Source organism: Homo sapiens, chromosome 11 (genome assembly GCF_000001405.40).
Source record: "Homo sapiens chromosome 11, GRCh38.p14 Primary Assembly".
Classification (NCBI taxonomy): Eukaryota; Metazoa; Chordata; class Mammalia; order Primates; family Hominidae; genus Homo; species Homo sapiens.
Genome location: NC_000011.10, coordinates 69,716,541 through 69,742,517, shown reverse-complemented (window position 1 = coordinate 69,742,517; position 25,977 = coordinate 69,716,541). Strand labels below are relative to the sequence as shown.

Genomic DNA, 25,977 nt, shown 5'->3' with positions numbered 1-25,977 from the left:
CTCCAATGCCTTAAACGCTTCCTGCCTCAGGGCCTTTGCAGTCTCGGGTGCTCTTCTCCAGGTCTCTGCGGGGCTGAGTCCCCATTGCATGGCGATCTCAGCTTAAATACTGGCTTCTCTCACCTCTGTAGCTAAAGTGATTCCCCCTAAACACACCACCATTATCATCTGCTTTTTTGATTTTCCTTTTTTTTTTTTTTTGTTTTTTTTTTGATATGATGTCTCATTCTGTCGCCCAGGCTGGAGTGCAGTGGCACGATCTCTGCTCACTGCAACCTCCATCTCCCAGGTTCAAGTGATTCTCCCTCAGCCTCCTGAGTAGCTGGGATTATAGGCACCTGCCACCATGCCCAGCTAAAATTTTTTTTGTATTTTTAGTAGAGACAGGGTTTCACCATATTGGCCAGGCTGGTTTCGAACTCCTGACCTCAAATGATCCGCCCGCCTTGGGCTCCCAAAGTGCTGGGGTTACAGGTGTGAGCCACCCATACCTGGCCGCTTATTTGATTTTCTTCCAAGCATTTATTACCATCCAAAACCATCTTGTGCATTGGTTCTCTTGCTGATTATTATTTCTCCCCTAGATGCTGTGGCCCTGAAGCAGGGACCATGTGCTTTGTGGCTGCCGTGTCCCCATCCCCCGGCACATGGCAGGTGCTTGATAAGCACTGTGCTGAGTGCATGGGGCAACCAGAAACAGGGGAGCTTGCTGGTCCCCAGCACTCCTGCAACAGGGCTCTGATCAGGGTGGCTCTCTGATGTCAACTGCACATTTTTTTTAAACTGTTGTGAGAATCTGCAGTAATCACTTGGTTCGGCACTAATCCTGAGTTAATGAGGCCACACTGGTTCTTTGGTGTTAATATTCTCTGAAGTTCAGCTCTGAGGAAAATGAAAAGAAAGACCGCCCCACCACTTACCCATCACCAAAGAAAGACACAAGTGAGCATCCTAGAATTTGGGACGCATCAAAATCAAAGAAAAAAGCAGAACCTGCCCCGATGTTTGGCGCAAGCAGCCTCTGAGGGCCAGCCGTGCTCCGAGCGTTTGTTGTGCAGGGGCACAGCCCTCCAGATGTTCCCTGGAAGGACTGCCACTTCAAACACCAGGGCTCAAGCCCATTACCTGTGCAGCCTTTGTGTATTTCAAAGGGGAAGCCAGTTGAACTTTCCCTGTAATCATTGGGCCCCAACTTGCCTTTAATGGACCATCAGGGAACACAGCAAGGAGAAGTCCCCAATCATTACCAGGTTCTGATGGCCTCAGAGCCCACCTGGAGAGGCCCCCGGGGCAGCCACCTGTGGGTCTTGCCACGCCTGCTCCAGGGAAGGCTAGGACTCCATCCAACCGAGCGCTGGACCGGGAGTCAGAAGCCACGACTTTGAGGGCCTAGGCTGCCTGGCCCCCCTTCCCCACTCCCTGTATGTGAACCCCACCTCTGCCGCTTGCTTGCTGTGAGACCTTGGGCAGGTACCCTCACCTTGCTGAGTCCCCGTTTTGCAATTGGCTGTGGAGGATAAAAACAGAACCTACCTCTCGGGTTTGCTCCGAAGCATAGGCATTTTGTAATAAATGACAATACTCTGAAGAAATATGTACTGAGTTGAATTGTGTCCCCACAAAATGTATGTCTGCCTGGAACCTCACAAGGTGAACTTATTTGGGAGAAGGATCTCTACAGATGTAATTAAGGTAAGAATCAAGATGAGATCATCCTGGACTAGGATGGGCCCTAAATCCAGTGATTGGTATTCTTATGAGAGATGGCCGGGTGCAGTGGCTCACGCCTGTAATCCCAGCACTTTGGGAGGCCACGGCGGGTGGATCCTCTGAGGTCAGGAGTTTGAGACTAGCCTGGCTAATATGATGAAACCCCATCTCTACTAAAAAGACAAAAAAATTAGCGGGGTGTGGTGGCATGCACCTGTAATCCCAGCTACTCAGGAAGCTGAGGCAGGAGAATCACTTGAACCCGGGAGGCAGAGGTTGCAGTGAGCTGAGATCAAGCCATTACACTCCAGTCTGGGCAACAAGAGTGAAACTCTGTCTCAGAAAAAAAAAAAAAAAGAAAGAGAGAGAGAGACAGACAGACAAGGGGAAGATGTAGATATTCAGGAGGCCCTGTGAAGCTGGAGGCTGAGGCTGGAGTGATGCAGCCATAAGCCAAGGAATGTCTGGAGACACCAGAAGGTGGAAAGGGCAGCAAGTGTCCTTCCCTGGAGCCTTCAGAAGGAGCAGGGCCATGCTGACTCCCTGATTTTGAAATTTCTGGCCTCCGGAACTGTGAGACAATACATTTCTGATCTTTCAAGCTATCAAGTTTGCCGTTGTTTATTATAGCAGCCTTGGGAAATTAATACCAAATACAAGTCATTGTTCTTGTAGTTGTTACTCTAAAGAATTCCCTGTGGCCGGGTGCGATGCCTCACGCCTGTAATCCCAGCACTTTGGGAGGCCGAGGTGGGCAGATCACCTGAGGTCAGGAGTTCAAGACCAGCCTGGCCAACATGGTGAAACCCAGTCTCTACCAAAAATGACAAAAATTATCTGGGTATGGTGACGTACACCTGTAATCCCAGCTACTCAGGAGGCTGAGGCAGGAGGATGGCTTGAACCCAGGAGGCGGAGGTTGCAGTGAGCCAAGATAGCACCACTGCACTCCAGCCTGGGCGACAAGAGCAAAACTCCATCTCAAAAAAAAAAAAGAATTCTCTGAGCCACTGAAATGTCTCACCAGACACTTAGGCCCACAGTGACCTCTGTAGATGAGCAGCTCCCTCTGTCTCCAAAGCAATTGAAAAAGGAAGAAGCGATGCATAAGGGAAAGACAGACCTTGGTTTGGAATGTGGCTCTGAGCTCCTTCCTAGCTGTAGGACTTTGACAAGTCACTGATCCTCCATGAACCTCTGTCTCTTTATGAAATGGGGACCATTATATCCACCTCCATGAATTCTGTGATGATGAGACTAGGTCAGGATGTAAAGCATTCACACATAAGTGTTCAGTAAATGGGAAGGGTGTCTATATTAGTTTATTTGTTTATTTATTTATTTATTTATTTTTGAGACGAAGTCTCACTCTGTGGCCCAGTCTGGAGTGCAATGGTGCGATCTCAGCACACTGCAATCTCTGCCTCCCAAGTTCAAGTGATTCTCCTGCCTCAGCCTCCTGAGTAGCTGAGACTACAGGCATGTGCCACCATGCCTGGCTAATTTTTGTATTTTTAGTAGAGACGGGGTTTTGCCATATTGGCCAGGTTGGTCTCGAACTCCTGACCTCAGGTGATCCATCTGCCTTGGCCTCCCAAAGTGCTGGGATTACAGGCGTGAGCCACCACGCCTGGCCTATATTAGTTATCTACTGTTACACAGTACATTTCCCCAACATTTGGAGGCTGAAAACAACAATGGACCTTTATTATCTCACATAGTATTATAGCTCTGTATCAGATATGTGGGAGCAGCTTAACTGGATGTTTTTGGCTCAAGACCTCTCATGTTGAAATCAAGATGTCAGCTAGGGCTGTAGTCTCATCTGATGGCTTGACTGGGGCTGGAGCATCCACTTTCAAGGTGCCTCACTCACATGTCTATGGGCAGGAGGCCTCAGTTCCTCACCACTCAGACTTTCCATAGGGCTCCCAACATGGCAGCTGGCTTCCCCCAGAGCATGTGATCCAAGAAAGAGCCAGGTGCAAGTGGTAATGTCTTGGGTGTCATACTCTGCCACTTCACCACATTCTACTGGTCCTAGAGAGCAACCCTGAAACAATGAGGGAGGGAACTCTACACGGGCACTGATACCAGAGAGTAGCCCATTGGAAGCCATTGGGGTGCTGGCTACCACTGTGTGTCAGAGGGCAAGGTGTTCTTGAGGATGCTGCCAGGCAAAAGCCTACCTAACAGGTGGCTTTGCTGTCCGGACTTGCCTCTGGGGCCAGCTGCCTGGGAGCTGGGAGCCTGATCTGGCCACATGCCCAGCAGCTCCCCTGTAATTTCATTTGTCTAAGGCCTCTCCATGTCTCACCGGGGCTCCTTCATGCAGGCACTAAGGGCCAACATTGAGCCACAAAGGCTTCCAACCCAGAGCCCATGTCAGCAGCCCACCCAGAGCCTCGCATCTTCTCCTGGGAGACCAGCCTAAAGATTAGAGCCCCAGAGACACCTCAGGGGCCAATGGACAGGCCTGAGTTCTGGAGGGGGCAGTGTCCCAGACACCCACCAGGGCCCTACAGCAGATCCCTGAGTGTGTTGTATGAGTGCTCACGTGTGGGTGCATCATGAGCAAACCTGTATGTGAAGGTGTGTGCAGGCAGATGTGTGCATCAGCACAACCGGAATCTGTTCATGGGTGACAGAATCTGACATTTCCACACATACAAAACATTGCAAGCACAGCAGTGCTGGAGCTGACAGGAGATCCAGGCCACCACCCCACCTCCCCTGCATCCTGTCACCGGCTGCCTCTGTTCTCAGACATATTCCAACAATTGCTTAAAACATGGTGGATTACTATGATGTTCTAGGCATGCAGAGATGCGCCTCACCCAAGGATAGTAAAAAGGCGTATCGGAAACTGGCACTGAAGTGACACCTAGATAAAAATCCTGAGAACAAAGAAGAAGCAGAGAGAAAATTCAAACAAGTAGTGGAGGCGTATGAGGTGCTGTCAGATGCTAAGAAACAGGACAACTATGACAAATAAGGCAAAGAAGGATGAATTGGTGGAGGAAGAGGTGGAAATCATTTTGAGAGTCCGTTTGAGTTTGGCTTCACATTTTGTGACCCAGATGATGTCTTCAGGGAATTTTTTGGTGGAAGGCACCCATTCTCATTTGACTTCTTTGAAAACCTTTTTGAGGACATTTTTGGGAATCAAAGGGGTTCCCGAGGAAGCAGAAGCTGAGGGACGGGGTCGTTCTTCTCCACGTTCAGTGGATTTCCATCTTTTGGAAGTGGATTTTCTTCTTTTGATGCAGTATTTACTTCATTTAGGTCCCTGGCTCATGGGGGCCTCACTTCATTCTCTTCCACATCATTTGGTGGTAGTGGGATGGGCAACTTCGAATCAATATCAACTTCTGCTAAAATGGTTAATGGCAGAAAAATGACTACAAAGAGAACTGTTGAGAATGGTCAAGAAAGAGTAGAAGTTGAAGAAGACAGCCGGTTAAAGTCCTTAACAATCCATGGTAAGGAGCAGCTGCTGTGTTTGGATAACGAGTAATTCAACGCACGCTTTTAACAGAAATGTTAAACTAAAACAAGTGCCACTGGAGGATTAACGGGAACTTTTTTTTGAAGATTTCAAATGAACTCGACTTTCAGTATAATTGTACCTAATGTAAAGTATTTATAAACAGCTCACTGGAGCCTCTATTTGTCATAGACTTTTGAGTTGATTGTTGGGGCCACATAATAGGACCATTGTTTTCTTGTGGTTTTTTTGTTTGTTTTTGGTTTTGTTTGTCTTTTTTTTTTTTTTTTTAAGATGGAGTCTCACTCTGTCACCCAGGCTGGAGTGCAATGGCACGATCCTGGCTCACTGCAACCTCCACCTCCCAGGTTCAAGCGATTCTCCTGCCTCAGCCTCTGGAGTAGATGGGATTACAGGCGTGTGCCACCACACCCGGCTAATTGTTGTACTTTTAGTAGAGACAGGGTTTCGCAATGTTGGCCAGGTTGGTCTTGAACTCCTGACTTCAGGTGATCCACTTGCCTCGGCCTTCCAAAGTGCTGGGATTACAGGCGTGAGCCACCATGCCCAGCCCATATATTTTTTTTAATTGGTGTAAATCTCTGCATGCACTTTGCTTTTTTATCAAACGTACTGCAAGGTGAGCCTTGATTCTTTAGTGTAGGACAATTAACACTAACACTAACACCAGCATGGATCTGCTTTTCCACGGCGTCTGAAATGTGAGTCACATAGTGTCGGCCTGCTGTGAAGTTAACACTGCCAGGACGAATCTTCTACAGAAATAATTTCGATTTTTTTTTAGTATTTAGTAGTGAAAGATATTAATGCATTAATGGTAATACATTTCTGGTTTAATATAAATTAAGGATGTTTTCTAGTTGTGCATGAATGCTGGCAACTTAAACAATTGTTTAAGTGTTTAAATATGTAATATTAAGCTTAGGTTTAAAAAAGTAAAGCTGGTGGCTTTACAGGCACAGTGGCTCACGCTTGTAATCCCAACACTTTGGGAGGCCAAGGTGGGTGTATCACAAGGTCAGGAGATCAAGACCATCCTGGCTAACACGGTGAAACCCCGTCTCTACTAAAAGTACAAAAAATTAGCAGGGTGTGGTGACAGGCGCCTGTAGTCCCAGCTACTCGGGAGGCTGAGGCAGGAGAATGGCATGAACCCGGGAGGCGGAGCTTGCAGTGAGCCGAGATTGCGCCACTGCACTCCCGCTTGGGTGACAGAGTGAGACTCTGTCTCAAAAAAAAAAAAAAAAAGTAAAGCTGGTAAACTGGGTCTTTGTCATTTGCTTAAAAAAAAAAAAAAGAAAGAAAAAGAAAAGAAATGCAAATGTGTTTGGTGTATTCTTTCCTGAGTGGTATCTGTTAAAAAAAAATTGTGCATGTCACGCCTGCAAAATGTGTAAAAAACACCAACAAAGCAAACACACATAAACCCACCACCAAGCTTCATGAATACAATATCACCTATCACCAACAGTTTGGTGCCCAACGTGCCCTCTCTCCCCAGAGGTAACCATTTTTCTGCATTTGGAGGCTTCCCTTTTTTTTTGAGACAGAGTCTCGCTCTGTGGCTCCAGCTGGAGTGCAGTGGCGCGATCTCGGCTCACTGCAAGCTCCACATGCCGGGTTTACGCCATTCTCCTGCCTCAGCCTCCCAAGTAGCTGGGACTACAGGCGCCCACCACCACGCCCGGCTAATTTTTTGTATTTTTAGTAGAGACGGGGTTTCACCATGTTAGCCAGGATGGTCTCGATCTCCTGACCTCATGATCCACCCGCCTCAGCCTCCCAAAGTGCTAGGATTACAGGTGTGAGCCACTGCACCCAGCCTGGAGACTTCCTTTTTTCACTTCCTATCTTGTGTGGGAGATTTATCTCTACCAATGGCTAAAAATTCTTTTTTCTTTTTCTTTTCTTTTTTTTTTTTTTTTTGAGAAGAAGTCTTGCTCTGTTGTCCAGGCTGGAGTGCAGTGGTGTGATCTCTGCTCACTGCAACCTGCACCTACTCGGGTTCAAGCGATTCTCCTGCCTCAGCCTCCTGAGTAGTTGGGACTACAGGTGCGCACCACCACACCCGGCTTATTTTTGTGCTTTTTAGTAGAGACGGGGCTTCACCATGTTGCCCAGTCTGGTCTCAAACTCCTGACTTCAAGTGATCCACCTGCCTTGGCCTCCTGAGGTGCTGGGATTACAGGCATGAGCCACCACGCCCAGCCTAGAAATTCATTTTTCACCACTGCCTAGCAATCCACCACATGACTATAGCACAAACCATGTGACCATTCTCCTGTTGGGGATGTTCAGATCTTTTCTTGTTATTGTTGTTGCTGCTGCCATTCCCAACAACACTGGCTCCAGCACACACATTTTTCTAGGGTGTATATACCTAGGAGTTGTTTCTGGGGAGGAGGGTGCAGCTTCACCTGTGCCAGCTTCTGCTATCTCTCTCTTGCAGACCCAAGCCATCAGGTAAAAAGGTCCAGCTACCGTGCTGAAAAGACTATGTAGCAAAAGACCATGCAGGAGAACAGAGAGAGAGAGAGAGAGAGAGAGAGAGAATGAATGAATGAATGAATGAATAAGAATGAGAATGCCCAGCCAGCCCCCAGCCTGTCCAGCCAGCCCAGCCAAGGCACCTGGCATGTGGATGAAGCCATCTTGGAACTTTCAATCAACCACGCTCCCAGCTGAATGTACCCATGGGAGTGACCCAGCCCACCACATGGATCCAAGATGAGCCATCCCTGCTGAGCCCTGCCCAAACTGCAGAATTATGAGAAAAATAAAATGGTGGATGTTTTAAGCCCCTAAGTTTTGAAGTGGCTTACCATGTAATAAGAGATCATGGAGAACATTAGCCATCCTATAAATACCCCAAAAGTTTGGTCATAAAATCAAAGCAAACCATGAATCTCATACTGCCCCAGATACGATCACTAACTATATGTAGCCTCTCCCCAGCCCATGGCCAACTTGCTTATGCTCCATCTACACCCCCCACCCCCATAATGAACTCTCCTTTTGGTGGGAAGAGGTGGGTGGGCAGCAGAGCTAGGTCTGGACCTGCCAGGAGGAAATCCACAGCCTGGGCAGGACACTGTTGCTGGATGCTGGCACATTTCATCTTCAAGGAAGACCTGAGAGGGTCCCTGGCACAAACCCCAGCCAAGGGGTCCCCCGACAGGTTTTTCCTCCCAGATATTCCAACTGGGGCGAAAGGAAGTGGTTCACAGGGAATCCCTGGGAAAGCCACAGGAAAAGCCAGCAGAGCCTTGGGCGGGCTGAGAAAGGAGAATTTTTTCTGTAAAAGGTCATCCTGTCTCCTGCATTCCTTCACTGCATTTCCAGCCACCAGAGCATCTATGAAAGTCCTTATTCTTCCTCTCTTGGCTCCAACCAAACATTCACTGCTGTAGTGGAAGATGGACTCTGGCTGCAGGGGGTGGGGAGAAAGAAGCCTCTCTCTCTTTCTTTCTTTCTTTCTTTCTTTCTTTCTTTCTTTCCTTCTTTCTTTCTTTCTTTCTTTCTTTCTTTCTTTCCTTCTTTCTTTCCTTCTTTCTTTCTTTTTCTTTTCTTTCTTTCTTTCCTTCTTTCTTTTTCTTTCTTTTCTTTCTTTCTTTCTCTTTCTTTCTTTCTTTCTCTCTTTCTCTCTTCTCTCTTTCCTTCCTTTTTTTCCTCCTTCCTTCCTTCTTTTTTCTATCTTTTCTTTATTTCCTTTCTCTCTTCTTTCTTTTCTTTCTCTCCTTTCTCTCTTCTTTCTTTTCTTTCCCTCTTTCCCTCTCCTTTCTTTCCTTCTCTCTTTTTCTCTCCTTTTCTTCCCTTCTTCCTTTTCTTTCCTAGGATTTGTAATGTTTATATGGTTCACTGGCCCCCAGGTCAAGGCTTTAGGCACCCACGGAATGTTTCCAGAGATCCACTGACTCCCTTGGGAAGAGCTGGGAGAAAACACAGAGGGTGTCACCAGGCTTATGACCCTGCACCCGCAGGGGATGGGACCCAGTTGGCAAAGTTGGACACCAGCTGTTTGCCAGTGAAGTCTCAGCTATTCCTCGCACTCAGATGCCTGCCGTGGCCCTGCCCACGTGTGTGGGATCACAGCACAGCCCTCAGGATCCTGCCCCTCCTGAAATATCTGCTTAAAGGAGGCCCAACTGCTTGACAGACTCGTCTCCTGTTCTGGCTTCGGATGCCCCACGGAGCCCAGTCATTTGTGCAAGGTACTGGGGCTGTTAGACCTGGCCAGTGAGTCATGGGGCTGATTCCTCTTGGGAGGTGCTCACAAGCCCAACCTCAGAACCAAACACTCTGAGGCTGAAGAGATTGGGCACGTGCCTAACAACTGTCACATCTAGGGGGTCTCTGGGTGGAGTGGGTGGTACTTGGGCCTACCTCTCTATCCTGTAATCTTCCACCTTCTCTCTGAGTGGCCTGGGCAGGTCCCCTCACCTCTCTGAGCCTCAGTTTCCTTACCCGTAAAATGGGCACAAATCACCCCTGCCTCTTGGGTTGTTGACAAGATTTGGGAAAGAGTTTCCAAGGGCCTGCCCATTTTGGGAGCCTCATATAGGAAAGCGTAGATGGACCTTGTCTGTTACTCCAGGGCTGACTCAGGGTGTCCCTGCCGGGGGCTGCAGAAACCCCACAGAGACCCGGTTTTCAATGAGTAGGCATCTCACCCTCATAAGCCACAGTGGCCCTGGCCCCAGCTCCCCATCACCTGCGTCTGACACTTCAGCCATCATTTAACATCAGAAAGTTTATTGCTGGCCCGCAGGGGCTCAGCCCTGCCTTAATGGGCCAACCTCAGGGGTCCTGCCCTTTGAAGAGGGTCTTTATGGTAATTGATGGTAATAGCGGGCAGCCTGGGGCCCCAGGTAGGAAGCCCCCCTGGGGATAATCAAATTAGCCTGGAAAACAAATTACTTTCAGCCAAAACAAATCACTTTCAATCACAGAGCAACATATAAGACCCCCAAACCACAAAGCCGCTCACAGTTCAAGGAACAGACAAGGGGATGAGGGACCCAAGAGAGTGGGCTGACCACAGCGCAGAGATGGGGTCAAGCCAGGCCTCCTTCTCCCTATTCAGTGGCCAGGACTGGGGGCCCCTCTTGAGCTGGGTTTACCTGTGACTAAAGTGTGTGTATGTTTTGTTTTTGGGGGGAGGTGGTGATGTTCCCTGGTTAAGCTGTCATCTAAGTATTAGGTGAGAGGTCCTGTCTGTTGTATACAGATGCATTGAGGGTCTTCCTCTCAATGTAGAGATAGACGTTTCCCAAGGGAATCATAAGCACAGTCCTGAGAGGCAGGTGCACTGATAGAGAGGATCCCACCCAGGCTCACTGGTCATGTCACAAATAAGGTGACCAGTCCCAGCTACTCAGGAGGCTGAGACAGGAGGATCACATGAGGCCAGGAGGTTGAGGCTGCAACGGGATGTGATTGTGCCACTGCACTACAGCCTGGGTGACAGAGCCAGACCCTGTCTCAAAACAAACAAAAACAAAACAAAACAACAACAATAGCAACAACAAAAACCCACAAAAAACAAAGCCCCAGAACCTCTGTGCAGGTGGTACAGAAGGGACCCACTTGGTCCATATCTATAGGATGTGAGTGGTATAAGTAGCCTCACCTGGTGGACCCCCCAAAACCTTCCACCCCTAAGCTGGGGTCTGCCCCATCCCTCCAGGCCTGGCTGATGCTGGGGAACACCAACACCAGAGCTATTTGCCCCATCTCTGCCTCCGTGGATGGCGAGGATGTCGGAGGTCCTGCCAGGAGCAAGGAGACCTAGCCCCAGGTTGACAAACGGAAGCGGGCAGGGCTGACCTCCCACCCAGACACGCTCTGCCTTCTCCACATGGGAGATGCACTGCGGCTCTCACCTGCCCAGCAAGCACTTAGTGAAGCGCCTCTGAGGGCCAGGCCAGCACCCAGCCCAGGTGGGGGGCAGTCATCGAGGTCCCCATGGCCTCGTGAGGAGACAAGGGTGTAACCAGAGGCCAACTGGCCACAGTGGACGTGTGGCCCAAGGACGGAGGGGCACCCTTGAGGCAGCAGCCCCTCGGTTCAGGGGGTCCCTGACAGGACCCAGGTTAGGGCCAGTGACCCAGGGAAGGGGCCTCCGGGGCAGAGACCAGCAATGCCAGGCATAGTCACAGGTGGCCAGATCCAGGGCCCCCCACAGCCATTCCTAGCTGGAGGTCGCCAGTTCCTGCCACAGGTTTGCCATGGGTCTGTGCTCAGCAGGATCTCTGTGGTGGTCAGGACAGGTGGAGGTGAGGCGGGCCTGGAGGCCAGAGCACAGAGAGAAGGAGGCAGCCGCCATGCCTCCACAGGCTTCACTCTGCAGCCCTCAGGGTAAGCCCAGGTTTTCTAGCCCCTGGCCTTGAGGCATGAGGTCCAATCCACACAGAGCCCCTTTCTTGCGATATGACCTTGGACAAGTGGCTTAACCTCTGGTCTGTAGAACCTTCTAGAAGTTTCTTTCCCATTGTGCCTCCTCTCCTCCAAAGAGAGCCTGTATGCACGGCCCCTCCTCACCCCTTGACTCCTGCCCCTGGGCCCAGACGCTTGGCCCCCTCTCTGTCCTGGCTCCTGCCTGTGCCCGGCCCCAGAACACGCCTCCACACTTGCCCCTCTCTCCTGCAGCATTAGGCGTTGTCCTCTGCACTCTCCTTCCCCAGCCCTGTGGAACCCACCCAGCCAGGCCAGCCCCTCCCTGGGATCCTCGACCTGCTCTTGGCACATCTAGCAGCTGCTCCTCCACCTGCAGGACCTCTGATCACCCCTCGCCCCCCAATGTGCTCCACGCCATGTGGGTGCCTCTCAGCCCCAGTCACCTCCTCCTCTGTTCCGCATGCTGCTCTCTGCATTTACTGACCTCCTAAGGCCACAGAGCTGTGGCTCCGTCTGACCCCTCTCCCCCATGCTTACCAGGCAGGCAAGCTCCCTGATGTGGTTTGGCTGTGTCCCCACCCAAATCTCATCTTGAATTGTAGCTCCCATAATTCCCATGTGTTGTGGGAGGGACCCAGTGGGAGATGATTGAATCATGGAGGTGATTTCCCCCATACTGTTCTCATGGTAGTGAACAAGTCTCACAAGATCTGATGGTTTTATAAGGGGCTTCCACTTTTGCTTGGCTCTTGTTCTCTCTCCTGCCGCCCTGTGAAGACGTGCCTTTTACCTTCCGCCATGATTGTAAGTTTCCTGAGGCCTCCCTAGCAATGTGGAACTGTGAGTCAATTAACCTTTTTCTTTTATAAATTACCCAGTCTCGGGTATGTCTTTATTAGCAGTGTGAGAATGAACTAATACACTTCCCAATGCCCTCGAGTTGAAATTCATTGACTCTGGTGACCCAGAACGTCTGTCTCCCTGGACTCCAGACTCTCGCCTCCAGCTGCCCCAGAGACTGCTGCATGGATGTCTCACAGGACCTCCAACTCCACAAGTCCAAACTGTGCCAGGACCTCCCACTCAAACCTGCTCTTTTCACCCACCTCCCAGCTGGGGACTCAGCCACTTCACCCTCCTGCTCCCAGGCCAGAAGCCCCATCTAGCAGCAGGCCCTGTCCCCTTACCCTGCAGGATGGAGGCAGAATCTGACCACCCCTGGTCCCAGCCACCATCGGAGTCTACCTGCGCCCCTTCCCGCTCAGTGCAGCTGCCTTTGTGCTTTTGTACTCTGGGACCCTCTTGCTCAGAGCAAAAGCCAGTGTTCTTACAAGGCCTCCAGGACCCCACAGATCTGTGAGCCGGAGCCCAATCTCAAGCAGCCCTGCTTTGGAGAGAGACATGTGTGCAAGAGCCCTGGGGTCCCTGGTGGAGGAGGGCAGCCACCTCGGACCTCCGACCCAGCCCGGCCTCCTGAGGATGGAAGTCTCAGAGGGAGACCAGCGGGCAGGTAGAGCGGTCGCAAGCTGACCTTGCTGAGTCCCCAGTTCCTGCACACAGAGTTGTGAGCAATACTAGGGTTTTGTGTGAAGCCACTAAGCTTGGGAAGCCGGCAGCACCTGATGTATTGCACACTTAGCTGCTTAGTTATTTTTCAGTCCCCACCCTGTCCTCTAGAATTACAGCTCCTCAAGGGCAGGGACTTGACTTCGCTCCCTGATGAGTCCCCAGCACCTAGACTGGTGTTTGACCAGTGACTGAGGCACTTGGTAGATATTTAGCTTATTTGAGTATTAACTGAAGAAATGGCAATGGGGCATGTTGCCAGGCACTTGGCTGCTGGCAGACCTCAGGAAATGTTGCCATCAGGTCTCTCGGGGGTGCTGACAACAAGGCCCAGCCCCGCCAATGCCAGGGGAGGAGGCAGCCACCCTCCCTCCCAGGCCTGGGCTGGCCGGCAGAACCCATGCCTAGCTCCGATGGCAGAGGCATCAGCTGCCTCTCATCTGTCTCCTCAGTTCACCTTCTGCTTCTCTGACTCTCTAATAGTCCCTTAATTGACCATTTGGCCCCTAAATTAGGGGCGATTAGGATCAACCCCCAAGCATCATTTCAGAAGGCAGCCAGGGGCCTGAAGCCCCTCTTTGGGGTCCTGGGGGTCCCTCGACTTGGTCAAATAAAGGTCAGCCCTCTGGCTTGGCATGGGTACCTTGGTAACCTCTGACCCTCAGCTCTTAAACCTGACCCCTGGTGATTCAGACCCGAGGTACTCACTGCAAATGGCCAACTAGGAAACACCCGAGGATGCAGTATGGAGACAGCTCCTCATGTGCCCGCAACCTGCAGAGCATCCCCCTGCAGCCAGCGTTCTGCTGGTCACTCTTTCTTTATGCACATAAGCTCCCAAGGTACAGAAAGGCATGCAGATACCACAGCCAGCACAGGAGGACCTCAAAACCCCATCTCATGGATTTGAGGCTCATCTTGCAGCAGTCGCTATTGTTGCCGTTCCAACCTCCTACCTGCTGCCTGGACCTAGGCAACTCTGCAAACATCTGCAAGCCTCAGTCTCCTCTTCTGCAAAACACGGACAGTCATAGCACCTGCAGTTTTGTAGTGTTGTTCTGAGGGTCATATGGCACAAGGGGCATGTCATTCTTTCTACACATGAGAAAGAGTGAATCCAAGCTCCTGGGCTCTAGAGCCATTGTCTCTCCCAGTTCCCAAGCCGGCCCCACCAATCAGGCTGGAGAAACCTCGGTGAGCTTAACTGGCCCAGGGAACGTCCAGGGTCCCACTGTTCTGGCAGTCTTTCTCCTGGGCTTGTGTGCAAGACAGTGCGCATAAGTGTGTGCACACGTGGGGGCATTTCTCTGGGCAGCCCGCATCCATATGCACACACACACACACACACACACACACACATGCCCAGGCAGGCCAGCCTGGTACAGCTGTGCAGGTTACACCCTGTGCCAGGGCCCCTCCTGGATGATGCCCATCTTCCCACAGCCTGCCAAGCTGCATGTCCAGAGCAAGGGGCATCTTTTTCTCTGTTGCAGATACTGCAAGTGCAGAGCACCTGCCAGCCTTCCCCTCCTGGTGATGCCCATCTCTCTCAAAGTCTTGACTCTGGCTTCCTCGACTCCCAGTCCCACACCTCACACTTGTGTTTCCAGCTGTAGGATGCTCCCTGGCTCCTGTTCCATGACTTCTCCCTCTCATCAGCTGCCCTCAGTTCAGGGCCCTCAGCCCTAGGGTGTGCCACCCCCATCATGGCTCTGACCGCCCAGTACCTGCCCTGCTTATCTGCGGTGCCCTCCATGGGCAGGCAGGGCCAGTGCAGTGCAGCAGTTGGACAGGTGAAACTCTTGCCCTGGTCTCCACGTCCCTGGGCCTGGCCTGGACAGACAGGCTGGGCCACCCCCTGGGAGCAGGAGGGGCATGTGTTCTGCATCCAGGCTGGCTCTGTCCAGGAGATGCCTCCGAGCCAGGCCCACCACTAGCACCCATCCGGCGCCTTGGAGAGCAGCCCGTCAATCAATGGAGGATGCAGTTGTGTGGTCTTTGAGCTGGCCCAGGACAAACGCCTGACGCAAGGCTAAATGGGGACCATCATAGCACCTGCAATTTTGTCGTGTTGTTCTGAGAGTCATATGGCACGATGGGCATATCATTCTGCCCATATCATTCCACCTCTGAAACATTTCTGTGAGGCAGGGAGAGCCACACGCCCTGTCCCCGGGAGCTCCTGGGCAGCACCCCCTCAGAAGCCAAAAATCCCAGAGAAGATGGATGCCCGCAGTGGGGCAGCAGGATGGCACGAGCTGGAGGCCTTGGGTCCCAGCTCTGCTTGGCCTCGGAGAGTCAGGCTTGCTCTCTGGGCCTCAGTTTTCCCTCAGAAACACAGGGTTCCTTCCCCCTCTGATGGTGGATGTGGCCGGGACATTGCAGACAGTAAGTAGGTGCACCCCAAGCATGAAATGGAGGCCTCAGCTCCCCACGGGAAGGGGATGGGGATGGATATGTCTGTATATTCCAGGTAGTGAGTGCAGGTGTTAGCCAGTGCTTATCGGGTTACCTCGGAATCTAAACCGTTCCCAGGGCCCACGCCCAGCGCCAGCGCTCCCCATAGGTTTATTCACACCTGGAAGCTGCAGGCGCTTGATGTGGTCCCTCTGATGTGCGTGCGCTCTGAAACCTAAACCCCCTTTGCTGCAGGCCTACGGAGACTCCGCAGGTGCCCAGGGAGAGGCCCCGGCAGGGGAGGCACCCTGTCCACCCTGACTCACAATGTCCTGGGGTGCCTGCTGTCCGGCCCGTTCCACTGGGGTCTTGTCTGCGTCCACTTTTCCTCCAGGTTCCTCTCCCTCTCCTGGGGCCCGAGGGCCATCACCCCGTGGAATGCCGCACCTTGGGAAAGGAGCAGCCTCCAATGACCTGGCTTGTGCTTTTCCCGAGCCTCCCAGCTGCCTCCCACCTCTGAGCAATTTATGGGGTCACGAACCACCTCAAGGGTGCAATTCCTTGTCCTGGTGCCAATTGGCCTCCAAAGTGCTTTACAACCTGCTTGTAGCACCGAGAAAGGGAACCAGCCCCCTGGATGGCCCCGAAACCATGGTGGCCCCGCCATTTGGCACCCAGGGCCATGGAGGCCTGGAATCTGCCCTAAGCCCAGCCACTGTGACAGCCGCTTCCTCCTTTCTGACTGCATTCCAGTCATATATGGTCATTCTTTACAGAAAAGCATCGAAGGGCGTAGCTCTTCAGAGGGACAGGAGCGTGAATCCCACTGTCTCTTCCTTCAGGTTTGCAGGTGTGAAAAGGGGACAACAAAAGCTATTCTTCAAAATTGTCACGAGGTTGAAATTAGATGACAGCTGTCAAGCAATGGCCCGTCGCAAACACTTCATAAATGGTGATGGTTTTATTAACATCAAAGTGGAAATGGCCAGGAATCTCACCTTCCAGAGATAGGCATGGCTACCTTTTTATGGTCTCTCCTTGCATACTTTTTCCTTCTTCTGTCCTGGAAAATCTCAGGCATACTGAAAAGTGCAAAAAAAGCACACAGCAGTTTTTTGTTTTTTGTTTGTTTGTTTGTTTTGAGATGGAGTCCTGCTCTGTTGCCCAGGCTGGAGTGCAGTGACACGATCACAGCTCACTGCAACCTCCGCCTCCTGGATTGAAGTGATTCTCCTGCCTCAGCCTCCTGAGCAGCTGGGATTACAGGTACATGCCACCGCATCCAGCTAATTTTTATATTTTTAGTAAAGACAGGGTTTCACCATGTTGGCCAGGCTGGTCTCGAACTCCTGACCTCAGGTGATCTGACCACCTTGGCCTCCCAAAGTGCTGGGATTATAGACATGAGCCACCACACCTGGCCCACACGGTGGTTTTGTGAATAATTTTAAAGTGAAAATTCACAGAACCAATGGCCCTGCAAGAGACAGACCCCAACCAGCATACAGAAGCCTCTCCCATCCCTTCTGAGCCCAGCCGATCCTTCTCTCCTCAAGGGAACCACCGTTCTGACTTAGCTCTGCTTTCTTTATAGCTTTACAGCCTAGATACTCCTCTCTAAAAAATGTCCTTTTTTACTTTTCCCCGTGTGTAGGTCTTGCCTTTTCCCTCTTCATTATATTTGTGAGATTTATTCATGTGAATGAGTGAACTTGTACTTGTTTTCTTTTTCCTTGCTGTATCACATTCCACAGTGTGAATGTGCTATTAGGTTGGTGCAAAAGTAATTGCAGTTTTTGCCATTACTTTCAATGGCAAAACCCACAATTACTTTTGCATCAACCTGATACAATTAATTCAGCCATCTCCCCATAGAGAGACAGGTGGGCTGTCCTAATCTGGAGCTGTTGGAACCTGGCTGCTCAGAACACCTTGGTCCTGAGGGGAATTCACCCAGCAGTCATACCGCACTCAGACCTTCAACTTTATCAAATGATGCCAGCCTGGCTAGGCGTGGTGGCATGCACCTGTAGTCCCAGCTACTTGGGAGGCTGAGGCAGGGGGATCACTTGAGCCTGAAAGGTCGAGGCTACAGTAAGCTGAGATGATACCACTGCACTCTGATTTTTAAGCAGACAATTTTGCTCTGCAGATATGTATAGATCTTTGAAAAGGAAAGTTAGATACAAAAATTAGCCAGACATGGTGGTGGGAGCCTGTAATCCCGGCTACACAGAAGGCTGAGGCAGGAGAATCGCTTGAACCTGGGAGGCGGAGGTTGCAGTGAGCTGAGATCGCACCACTGCACTCCAGCCTGGGCAACAAGAGTGAAATTCCATCTCAAAAAAAAAGAAAAAAGAAAAGAAAAGTTGGGGTTAGTATGTGGCTACACAGATGTCAAACAAAAAGGTTTTCCTATAAATGCTGTGTGTGCAGAGAACACTCTTTTTTTTTTTTTTTTTTTTTTTGAGATGGAGTCTCGCCCTGTCACCCAGACTGGGGTGCAATTGCAATGGCATGATCTCGGCTCACTGCAACCTCCGCCTCCCAGGTTCAAAGGATTCTCCTGCCTCAGCCTCTGGAGTAGCTGGGATTGCAAGCGCCCGCCACCATGCCCAGCTAATTTTTGTATTTTTAGTGGAGACGGGGTTTCACCATGTTGGCCAGTCTGGTCTCAAACTCCTGACCTCAGGTGGTCTGCCCACCTCGGCCTCCCAAAGTGCTGGGATTACAGGCATGAGCCACGGCGACTGGCCCACATAGAACATTCTTAGGCACATACAACAAAAATCTGTTAACAGCAGGGATACTGAGAGCGGTGGGGGAGCTGCTTTCATATTTCATTTTATACCCTCTTCATGGTTTAACATAAATATGGCTCACACTGAGCATGTTTGTTTTGGGCTCATATGGCAGGTGATGTTCTGAAGCCTGGTTTTATGGAATGCCAGGGACATCTGTCTATGTCAGCAAGCACACCTTGCTACTGACTGGCACAGCCACTCATGGTTTGGGTACCAAAGTGTCCCCAGAGACTGGACATTGAGGTTGGTTCCAATGTTTCACTATGATAAACAAGAGTGTAATCTATTTATCCAGACAGACATTTTCACCCACTCAGGTGACCTCCCCCACCCAACTTCCAGGTGTTTTTTTTTTTTCTCTCTCTCTCCTGGGGCAGAGTCTCTCGCTCTGTCACCCAGGCTGGAGTGCAGTGGCGCAATCTTGGCTCGCTGCAACCTCCGCCTCCCAGGTTCAAGCGATTCTCCTGCCTCAGTCTCCCAAGTAGCTGGGATAATAGGTGCGCACCACTATGCCCGACTAATTTTTGTATTTTTAGTAGAGACGGGGTTTCACCATGTTGCCCAGGCTGGTCTCGAACTCCTGACCTCAAGTGATCTGCCCACCTCGGCCTCCCAGTGTGCTGGGATCACAGGCGTGAGCCACCATGCCCTGCTGTATTTTTCAAACATTATAAAAGTTCTGCACAGTCTTTAGAGAAAATTTGAAAATTAGGAAAAAACTAAAGAGAAGAGCCCACCAGGAGCTCCCCACCAATGACCCGATGTGCTGGGCTTGTGTTTTTTCCTGAATTGGGAGCCACTTCTGCACTGAGGTCTGCATTCTAGGTCACAGTCTTCCTCACTGCTCAGAACCCAGGCAGAGTGGCCCTGGAAAACCCCACCATGATCTTCTCACCCGGGGTTAAAGGTAGTCTGGGCTTCATCATCTCTGGTGACAAGCCCAAGCCTGCACCCAGTGCAGTTCACCCTGAGCCCCTCTCCCTGGCGTGCTGGGCTAGCCAGGAGCTCAGAAAGTTTCTCTTTCTCCTACTCCATCTCCCCCGAACCCGACTTCACTCATGCCACAGATAACCATCGATCACCTCCAGTGCTCCAAGCGCTGAACTAATGCTGGAGAAACAGCAGTACTCAGGAGGACAAGGGGCCTGCCTGCCCCTGTGAGGTCACACTCCTGCTTCTCCAGCAGGAGAAGCACAGAGTCACTAAATGCACAAATAAAGAAGTCAGGCCCCCAGCACTTTGGGAAGCCGAGGCAGGCGGACTGCATGAGGTCAGGAGTTTGAGACCAGCGTGACCAACATGATGAAACCCCGTCTCTACTAACAATACAAAAATTAGCCAGGTGTGGTGGCGGGCATCTGTAATCCCAGCTACTTGGGAGGCTGAGGCAGGAGAATCGCTTGAACCTGGGAGGCGGAGGTTGCAGTGAGCTGAGATTGCACCATTGCACTCCAGCCTGGGCGACAAGAGCGAAACTTTGTCTCAAAAAAAGAAAAGAAGAAGAAGAAAGAAGGAGAAGCAGAAGAAGTGGAGGAGGAGGAGGAGGAGAAGGAGAAGGAGAAGTCAGGGCAGGCGCAATGGCTCATGCCAGAACTTTGGGAGACCAAGGCAGGAGGATTGCTTGAGGCCAGGAGTTTGAGACCAGCCTGGGCAACATGGTGAAACCCTACCTCTACCAAAAATACAAAAATTAGCTAGGCATGGTGGCATGCAACCATAGTCTCAGCTATTCAGGAGGCTGAGGCGGAGGATCACCTGAGCCTGAAAGGTTGAGGCTATAGTGAGCGGAGATCACACCACTGCACTCCAGCCTGGGTGGGTGACAGAGCGAGACCCTGTCTCAAAGAAGTCAGGTCATGTAGCATTGGAGCCAGAAGTCAGGCACTCTGGAGTCTGTTCTTTCCCTACCTCTACCCTTTGGTTGAGCCCCCCAGGCCGCCATGTCACACCATCTTCCATCTGTCCACCAACTGTGTAGTTGTGCAGTGCGAAGCCTGTGCCACTGTGCACAGCAGCCTTGTACAAGGGCCCTTGTCCTCCCTGGACCCTTCATCTCGCAGAGACCAGGAATCTGATAAACAAAGGTTCCTAAGGCCTGGTGTCTGCCAGTCCACCCTTCCTGGAAGTTTCTATAATACAGAAAAAGCCCGCTGGAAGGGTACCACTCTGCCCTCTGATGGCCTGTCTGGGTTATGGGGAGGTGCAGCGAGAGAAAAACAGCACCTGCCGCGTGCCAGGTCCAGGGCTGGGTGTTTCCGGGCTGCTTTCATTTACTCTTCAGCGTGGCTCTGCTTTATGGGTGAGGAAACTGAGGCTCAGAGAGGACAAACAGCATCGCAAACCTGGTCAGTGGCAGACCCAGGAGCACAGCAGCTTTGGCAGCCGGTCTGTGGCCTGTAAAGGGGGTGCCCTCCCCCTTTGGCTGAAGCACAGGTGGCGATCCCCAATTTGTTCCCTGCCCATTAACAGCCCGACCTCTGAACCATATTGGGCATTAAGGAATTAGAGCTGAGATTGCCACCTTTTGGGAGCTGACACCCCTATTCTTATGTAACCCCGCCCCGCCTCCTCCGTCCCTCCAAGTGTCGGCTGGCAAACATCTGTCCTGTAAATCAAAGCACTTGCGGACTCGCCAGGTTTGACAGGTCTCCGAGAATTTCATGGAGCCCTTTGGAGAAGACACCATCATGGGCTGCGAACGCATTTGAAAAAGTTAAAAGCCTCCTTCGCAAGCACAAAGTGTCCCAGAGAGCCTGGCTCCAAGAGGTCACAGCCCTGGGCAGCCAAGCCAGTGAGCCAGGGAGCGGTGGATTCCATCCCAGGGGGCAGCTCCTCTGACCCTCTAAGGAAAACATCGGGGAGGTTCCGGCTGGAGGATCTTGAGTAGAAAGCCATTGTGCAGGAGCCCCGGGGATTTGTTTGGGAGGAAGGTGACATTCGGGGACGGGTAAGACAGCGCTGTCTGCACACCTTTGACCACTGAAGCTGCACGATGTCCCTGCATGTGGTCGCTCGCTGCTGACTGATGGGAGTCACTCAACCACACCACAGGCCTCCTTTGTCCTGGCCCCAAGTTAACATTTTAAAAATATCTCTTCCTGGTTTAATAGCTTCTGTGCTGTGATGATAAAAGTGATCCATTTTCAGTGTAGGAAATGCAGGAAAAAAGAGACAGATAAAAATAAGGACAGAATGGGTGTATTCTCTTACTTTTAAAAAAATGGACCAGAATGTGTGTTTTTTTCTTTTCTTTTTTTTTTTTTTTTTTTTTTTTGCTTTTACAGAACCAATTTTACTGTAGAGCTGGGTGTCCTGCTGTTTGTACCTTGCCTCACATGGTGACAATTTTTATCGGGGGCCTAATAGTTTGAATGAACTCTTCTTCATGTAACCCATTGTTCAATGGGTTAAATGGGCCATCCTGGCCAGGCTGGTATCGAACTCCTGACCTCAAGTGATCTGCCCGCCTCAGCCTCCCAAAGTGCTGGGATTACAGGAGTGAGCCACCATACCTGGCCCCAAGTTTCAGTTTTTAGAAATAAAGTTTTATTGGCACACAGACATGCACATTCGTGAATGCATTGCCTGTAGCCACTTTCATGCCCCAACAGCAGCGTTGAGGAGTTGTGAGAAAGGCCTACGGCCCTCAAAGCTGAAATTTACTATCTGGCCCCTTACAGAAAAAAGTTGCACAAAACTGGACAAAACTGGGCCCTAATGAGCATCTTTGCATATTTCTTTAAGGAATTTCTTTTTTTTTTTAGACAGAGTCTTGCTCTGTTGCCCAGTCTGGAGTGCAGTGGTGTGATCTCAGCTCACTGCAACCTCTACCTCCTGGGTTCAAGCTATTCTCCTGCCTCAGCCTCCTGAGTAGCTGGGATTACAGGCATGTGCCACCACACCCAGCTAATTCGTTTGTATTTTTAGTAGAAACGGGGTTTCACCATATTGGCCGGGCTGGTCTCGAACTCCTGACCTCATGATCCGCCCGCCTCAGCCTCCCAAAGTGCTGGGGTTACAGGCGTGAGCCACCGCGCCCGGCCTAAGGACTTTCTTTATGTTAAACTCCTAGAAGTAGAATTGTGTGGTTAAAGAGGATGAACAGTTTGAAGCGTATTCGTTCATTGAATCAGCTCACTTTGTGCTGATCCTGTGCCAGGGTGGGAGCTGCGGCGGACCCCATGAAGCCAGGCCCTGCTCTCCTCAGCTTGTCTCATTCCGAGAAAGCCAGGCAACAGTTGGCAAAGTCTATGGGCATTGGGCAGAGTCTCCTGGGACCTGGCAGGTACTCTGGACTCATCGTGATCACAGTGTGGCTTCCCACAGGAGTGGACTGGGATGGATGCTGCAGGGGTTCTGCCAGGCTGGAGACCCTCGCCGATTCACTCCTCCACCCACTGGCCTCAGGAGAGGCTGCTCCCCCGACACCTAGGAACCTCTACCTAGCAGGACTTCTCAGATAAGCCTCTGTCAGTTTGCTAAGTAAGAGGAAGGCTTCTCCCTCCAGTTTGAACATTCTTATCCTCGTTGGCTATGTGTATTTCTTCTTTTGCAAACAGTTCCTCACGACTTTCCAGGTGAACTTGGGAAGTTGTTGGATGATTTTGCAGAAAATAGGGGTGGGTGGAAAGGAAGCCAAACCTCCATCCTCACCCCTGCTCGATTCTTCATGGAGTTTGTTTCTGGATGCACCGTCCTCAGGAGGGAGAGTTAGCAAACTGCACCACCGTCTCCACTTCCAAGGGAAGTCAAGGGTCAGGTCCCAAACGGGGGTGGTCTCATCCGATGGGAACAACCAGGCTGCAGTTGCTAGGGACCTGGGGAGCAGCTTTGCAAGCCTGCCAGGCCAAGAGGGGATGGTGTCAATGAGCCCATCGGCTCCCGGGGTGCCTGGAGCTGGGCCCCTCAGTGAACCAACATCAAGAAATGTCCCTGGCCCTCTGCTGGGAGGACCCCTCCGAGTCCATCCTCAGGGGCATCTGGACCTGCCATCTCCCTCCAAGCTGCCTCTGTCCAAGGTCCCCCAGGCCCGCTCAACCGGTGTGCTCCCTGCAGATGTGCTCCCCACAGTGTGTGCTCGGTGGTGTAGTTTGCTAACTCTCCCTTCTGAGGACGGTGCATCCAGAGACAAACTCCATGAAGAATCAAGCAGGGGTGAGGATGGAGGTTTGGCTTCCTTTCCGCCCACCCCTATTTTCTGCAAAATCATTCAACAACTTCCCAAGTTCACCTCGGGGACACTGTGGGGACCCACTGCCCACTCCCCCTCTCTGGGGAGCAGAGGAGCTCCTGGGGTTGGGGCCCGTGTGCTGAGAAGGTTGAGCATTGACTCACGGAGTCAGCTGAGTGATGCCCCCCAAGATGTGTGTCCCTCCAGAACCTGTGGGAGTCACCTAACTTGGAAAAGGGTCTTTGTGCATGACATTAAGTGAAGGATCTCAAGAAGAGATGATCCCGGATTGGACAGGGGGCACTGAGTTAGACGATGAGAGTCCTGAAAAAAGAAGATGTCCACAGAAGAGAAAGACGGAGCAAGAGTTTAGACACAGAAAGCAGGGAAGGAGGAGGCCGACACCTGGGGCCGGAGAGCAGGAGGCATCCTCCCTTGGGCCCCAGGAGCCCTGACCCCGCCAACATCTTGATTTCTGACTTGCAGCTTCCAGCTCGGTGAGAGCAGAAATCTCTTGCTTAAGCCGCCATCTGTGATCATTGTCGCAGGAGCCCCAGGGGACTCATCAGAGTCCCGCGGTCGGCTGTGAGTCCCCACCCTGCAGCTGAAGAGCTGTGTGGCCTCAGGCAGGAAAACCTGCCCCCTCGTGGGCTGGTGTGAGACTGGCAGTCATTCGCTTGCTCATTAAAGCCTGAGGGGCCAAGGTGCCCGGTGGGCGGCCCCTGCTGTTCTCACGACCTGACCGGGAAAGCCAAAGCATGCTGCTACTGCTCAGAAGAGCCCTGAGCACTTGATGCCTGGCAGGTGGGGTGCTCCCTTGGGGTCTTCAGGGGTACTGGAGGCGCCCCAGCTGCCACTACACCCCACAAGACCCCAGCTCAGCTCAGCAGAGCCCAGAGCTCAGCTGAGTCTCATAAGGATGTCACATAAAGATTCAGGGTCATTGGTGCCAAGTTCAAGAGGAGCAGAGACTGTGACTCCAACTGTCTTGTGTGGAAGCTTCTAGAAGAAACCCTTAAAACAAACAGAGCCATGGGAATCAGATGCTGGAGATGGAAGAGGAAGCACTGCCCACACAAGCCAGGTTTTCCACACTGGCGGGGTCACCCCATCCTGGCTTGACTCTCCTTGCCAGCCTCTCCACGAGGGACACCCCATAACCCACCCACTAACTGACCTCTGGGAATCAGGCTGGGCACAGGCTGACTGCACCACCATAAATGAGGTTTAAATGGAAATCCACGTGTTTCCCACTCTGGCCATGGGACCTGTGGGAATAAGCCCCTAGCTGCAACCAGGACCATGGACTTAATCCCAGCAAAAGACCCCAAGCCCCAGTAGTGACGGCAATGAGCAGTGTACAGGGAGAGGCAGGAAGGAGGAGGAGGGAGGCGGGAGGAGGAGGAGGGGAGGGTGAGAGTCAGAGAGGGGAGGAGGGAGGAGGAGGAGAGGAGGGAAGAGGAGGGGAGGGAGGAGAGGAGGATGGAGGAGGAGGAAAAGAGGAGGGGAGGAGGGAGGAGGTGAGAAGGGGAGGGGAGAGAAGGAAGGAGACTGGAGGCAGTGAGGAGCAAGGAAGGAGGAGCTCTTTTTCACTCTCCACTGGCCAAGGCTGACAGCCCCTTCACCTCAGTGCTCTCATCTGTAGAATGGGGCTGTGCTAGATCCTGCACACACACAGCCTGGACCAGGCACTTGCATCTGTTCCCTGTCCCATAGAGGGCCTGAAACAAGAAGCATGATGGTGGAGGAGGGATGGCAAGGGTTCAGGGCAGGCACCATCCTGGAGCAGAGGGTTGAGGAGCTGACGGGAGTTCCTTGCAAGGAGGCAAAGCATGGCAAGTCTTGGGGGGACTGGAAGCCCTGGCTGGGGCTTTGGGAAGAGGCCCCTCCTAGTCCAGCCCCCCACATCCCAGCCGCTTGGCCTGGCTCCCTCTGGCCACCCTCTGCAAGCCCGTGTCCATCCTGTTTCCTAGGTGGGGAAACTGAGCCAAGGACTTGTCCCAAGGCACACAGTGGGAGCCTGTGGCAGGAATCCTCCAGCCCCCTTGATCTGTGGTGCATGCAGCCAGAAACCCTAGCCAGAGCTGAGCCCAGAGCATCTGTTTAAATGCCTTAAAGCAGGAACATCCCTGGCCTGCTGGAAAGGCAAAGCTAGAAGGAGGCTGAAGCCCCCTCTTTCTCTGCCCTTCTCTTTCCCTCCCTCCCACCCTTCTCCCCTCTACTGAAGGAGATTCATCACACCTATGCCCTGCCAGGGCTATGCTGGGCCCAGGGGAGGCAGGAGTGACCAAGACACACACACGTGTGTGAGACCATGGAGCTTACAGACACTAGGCAGAGGCAGACCATGGGCAGATAATTCCATAGATGATTATTTTAAGGCAATTATAGCAAGTGCTGCAAAGGAGACAAGGGCTCTTCCTGAG

The 25,977-nt window shown here is 51.8% G+C and overlaps 1 pseudogene, besides 5 other annotated features; it reads left to right on the top strand.

Annotated features, from left to right (window-relative positions):
• Window positions 561-1,145: an enhancer, noted in NCBI's record as "H3K4me1 hESC enhancer chr11:69556141-69556725 (GRCh37/hg19 assembly coordinates)". NCBI's record gives its function as "activates a minimal SCP1, AML or CMV promoter by ChIP-STARR-seq in naive and primed H9 embryonic stem cells {active_cell/tissue: H9 hESC(naive and primed)}" and the evidence as "EXISTENCE:reporter gene assay evidence [ECO:0000049][PMID:30033119]".
• Window positions 1,146-1,731: an enhancer, noted in NCBI's record as "H3K4me1 hESC enhancer chr11:69555555-69556140 (GRCh37/hg19 assembly coordinates)". NCBI's record gives its function as "activates a minimal SCP1, AML or CMV promoter by ChIP-STARR-seq in primed H9 embryonic stem cells {active_cell/tissue: H9 hESC(primed)}" and the evidence as "EXISTENCE:reporter gene assay evidence [ECO:0000049][PMID:30033119]".
• DNAJB6P5 (DNAJB6 pseudogene 5) lies at window positions 4,502-5,164 on the top strand (annotated as a pseudogene).
• Window positions 20,798-21,547: an enhancer, noted in NCBI's record as "RC15". NCBI's record gives its function as "enhancer in posterior midbrain/rhombomere 1, pharyngeal epithelia" and the evidence as "EXISTENCE:transgenic organism evidence [ECO:0001131][PMID:16930954]".
• Window positions 20,798-21,689: a biological region, named in NCBI's record as "FGF19 upstream enhancer".
• Window positions 21,038-21,689: an enhancer, noted in NCBI's record as "NANOG-H3K4me1 hESC enhancer chr11:69535597-69536248 (GRCh37/hg19 assembly coordinates)". NCBI's record gives its function as "activates a minimal SCP1, AML or CMV promoter by ChIP-STARR-seq in naive and primed H9 embryonic stem cells {active_cell/tissue: H9 hESC(naive and primed)}" and the evidence as "EXISTENCE:reporter gene assay evidence [ECO:0000049][PMID:30033119]".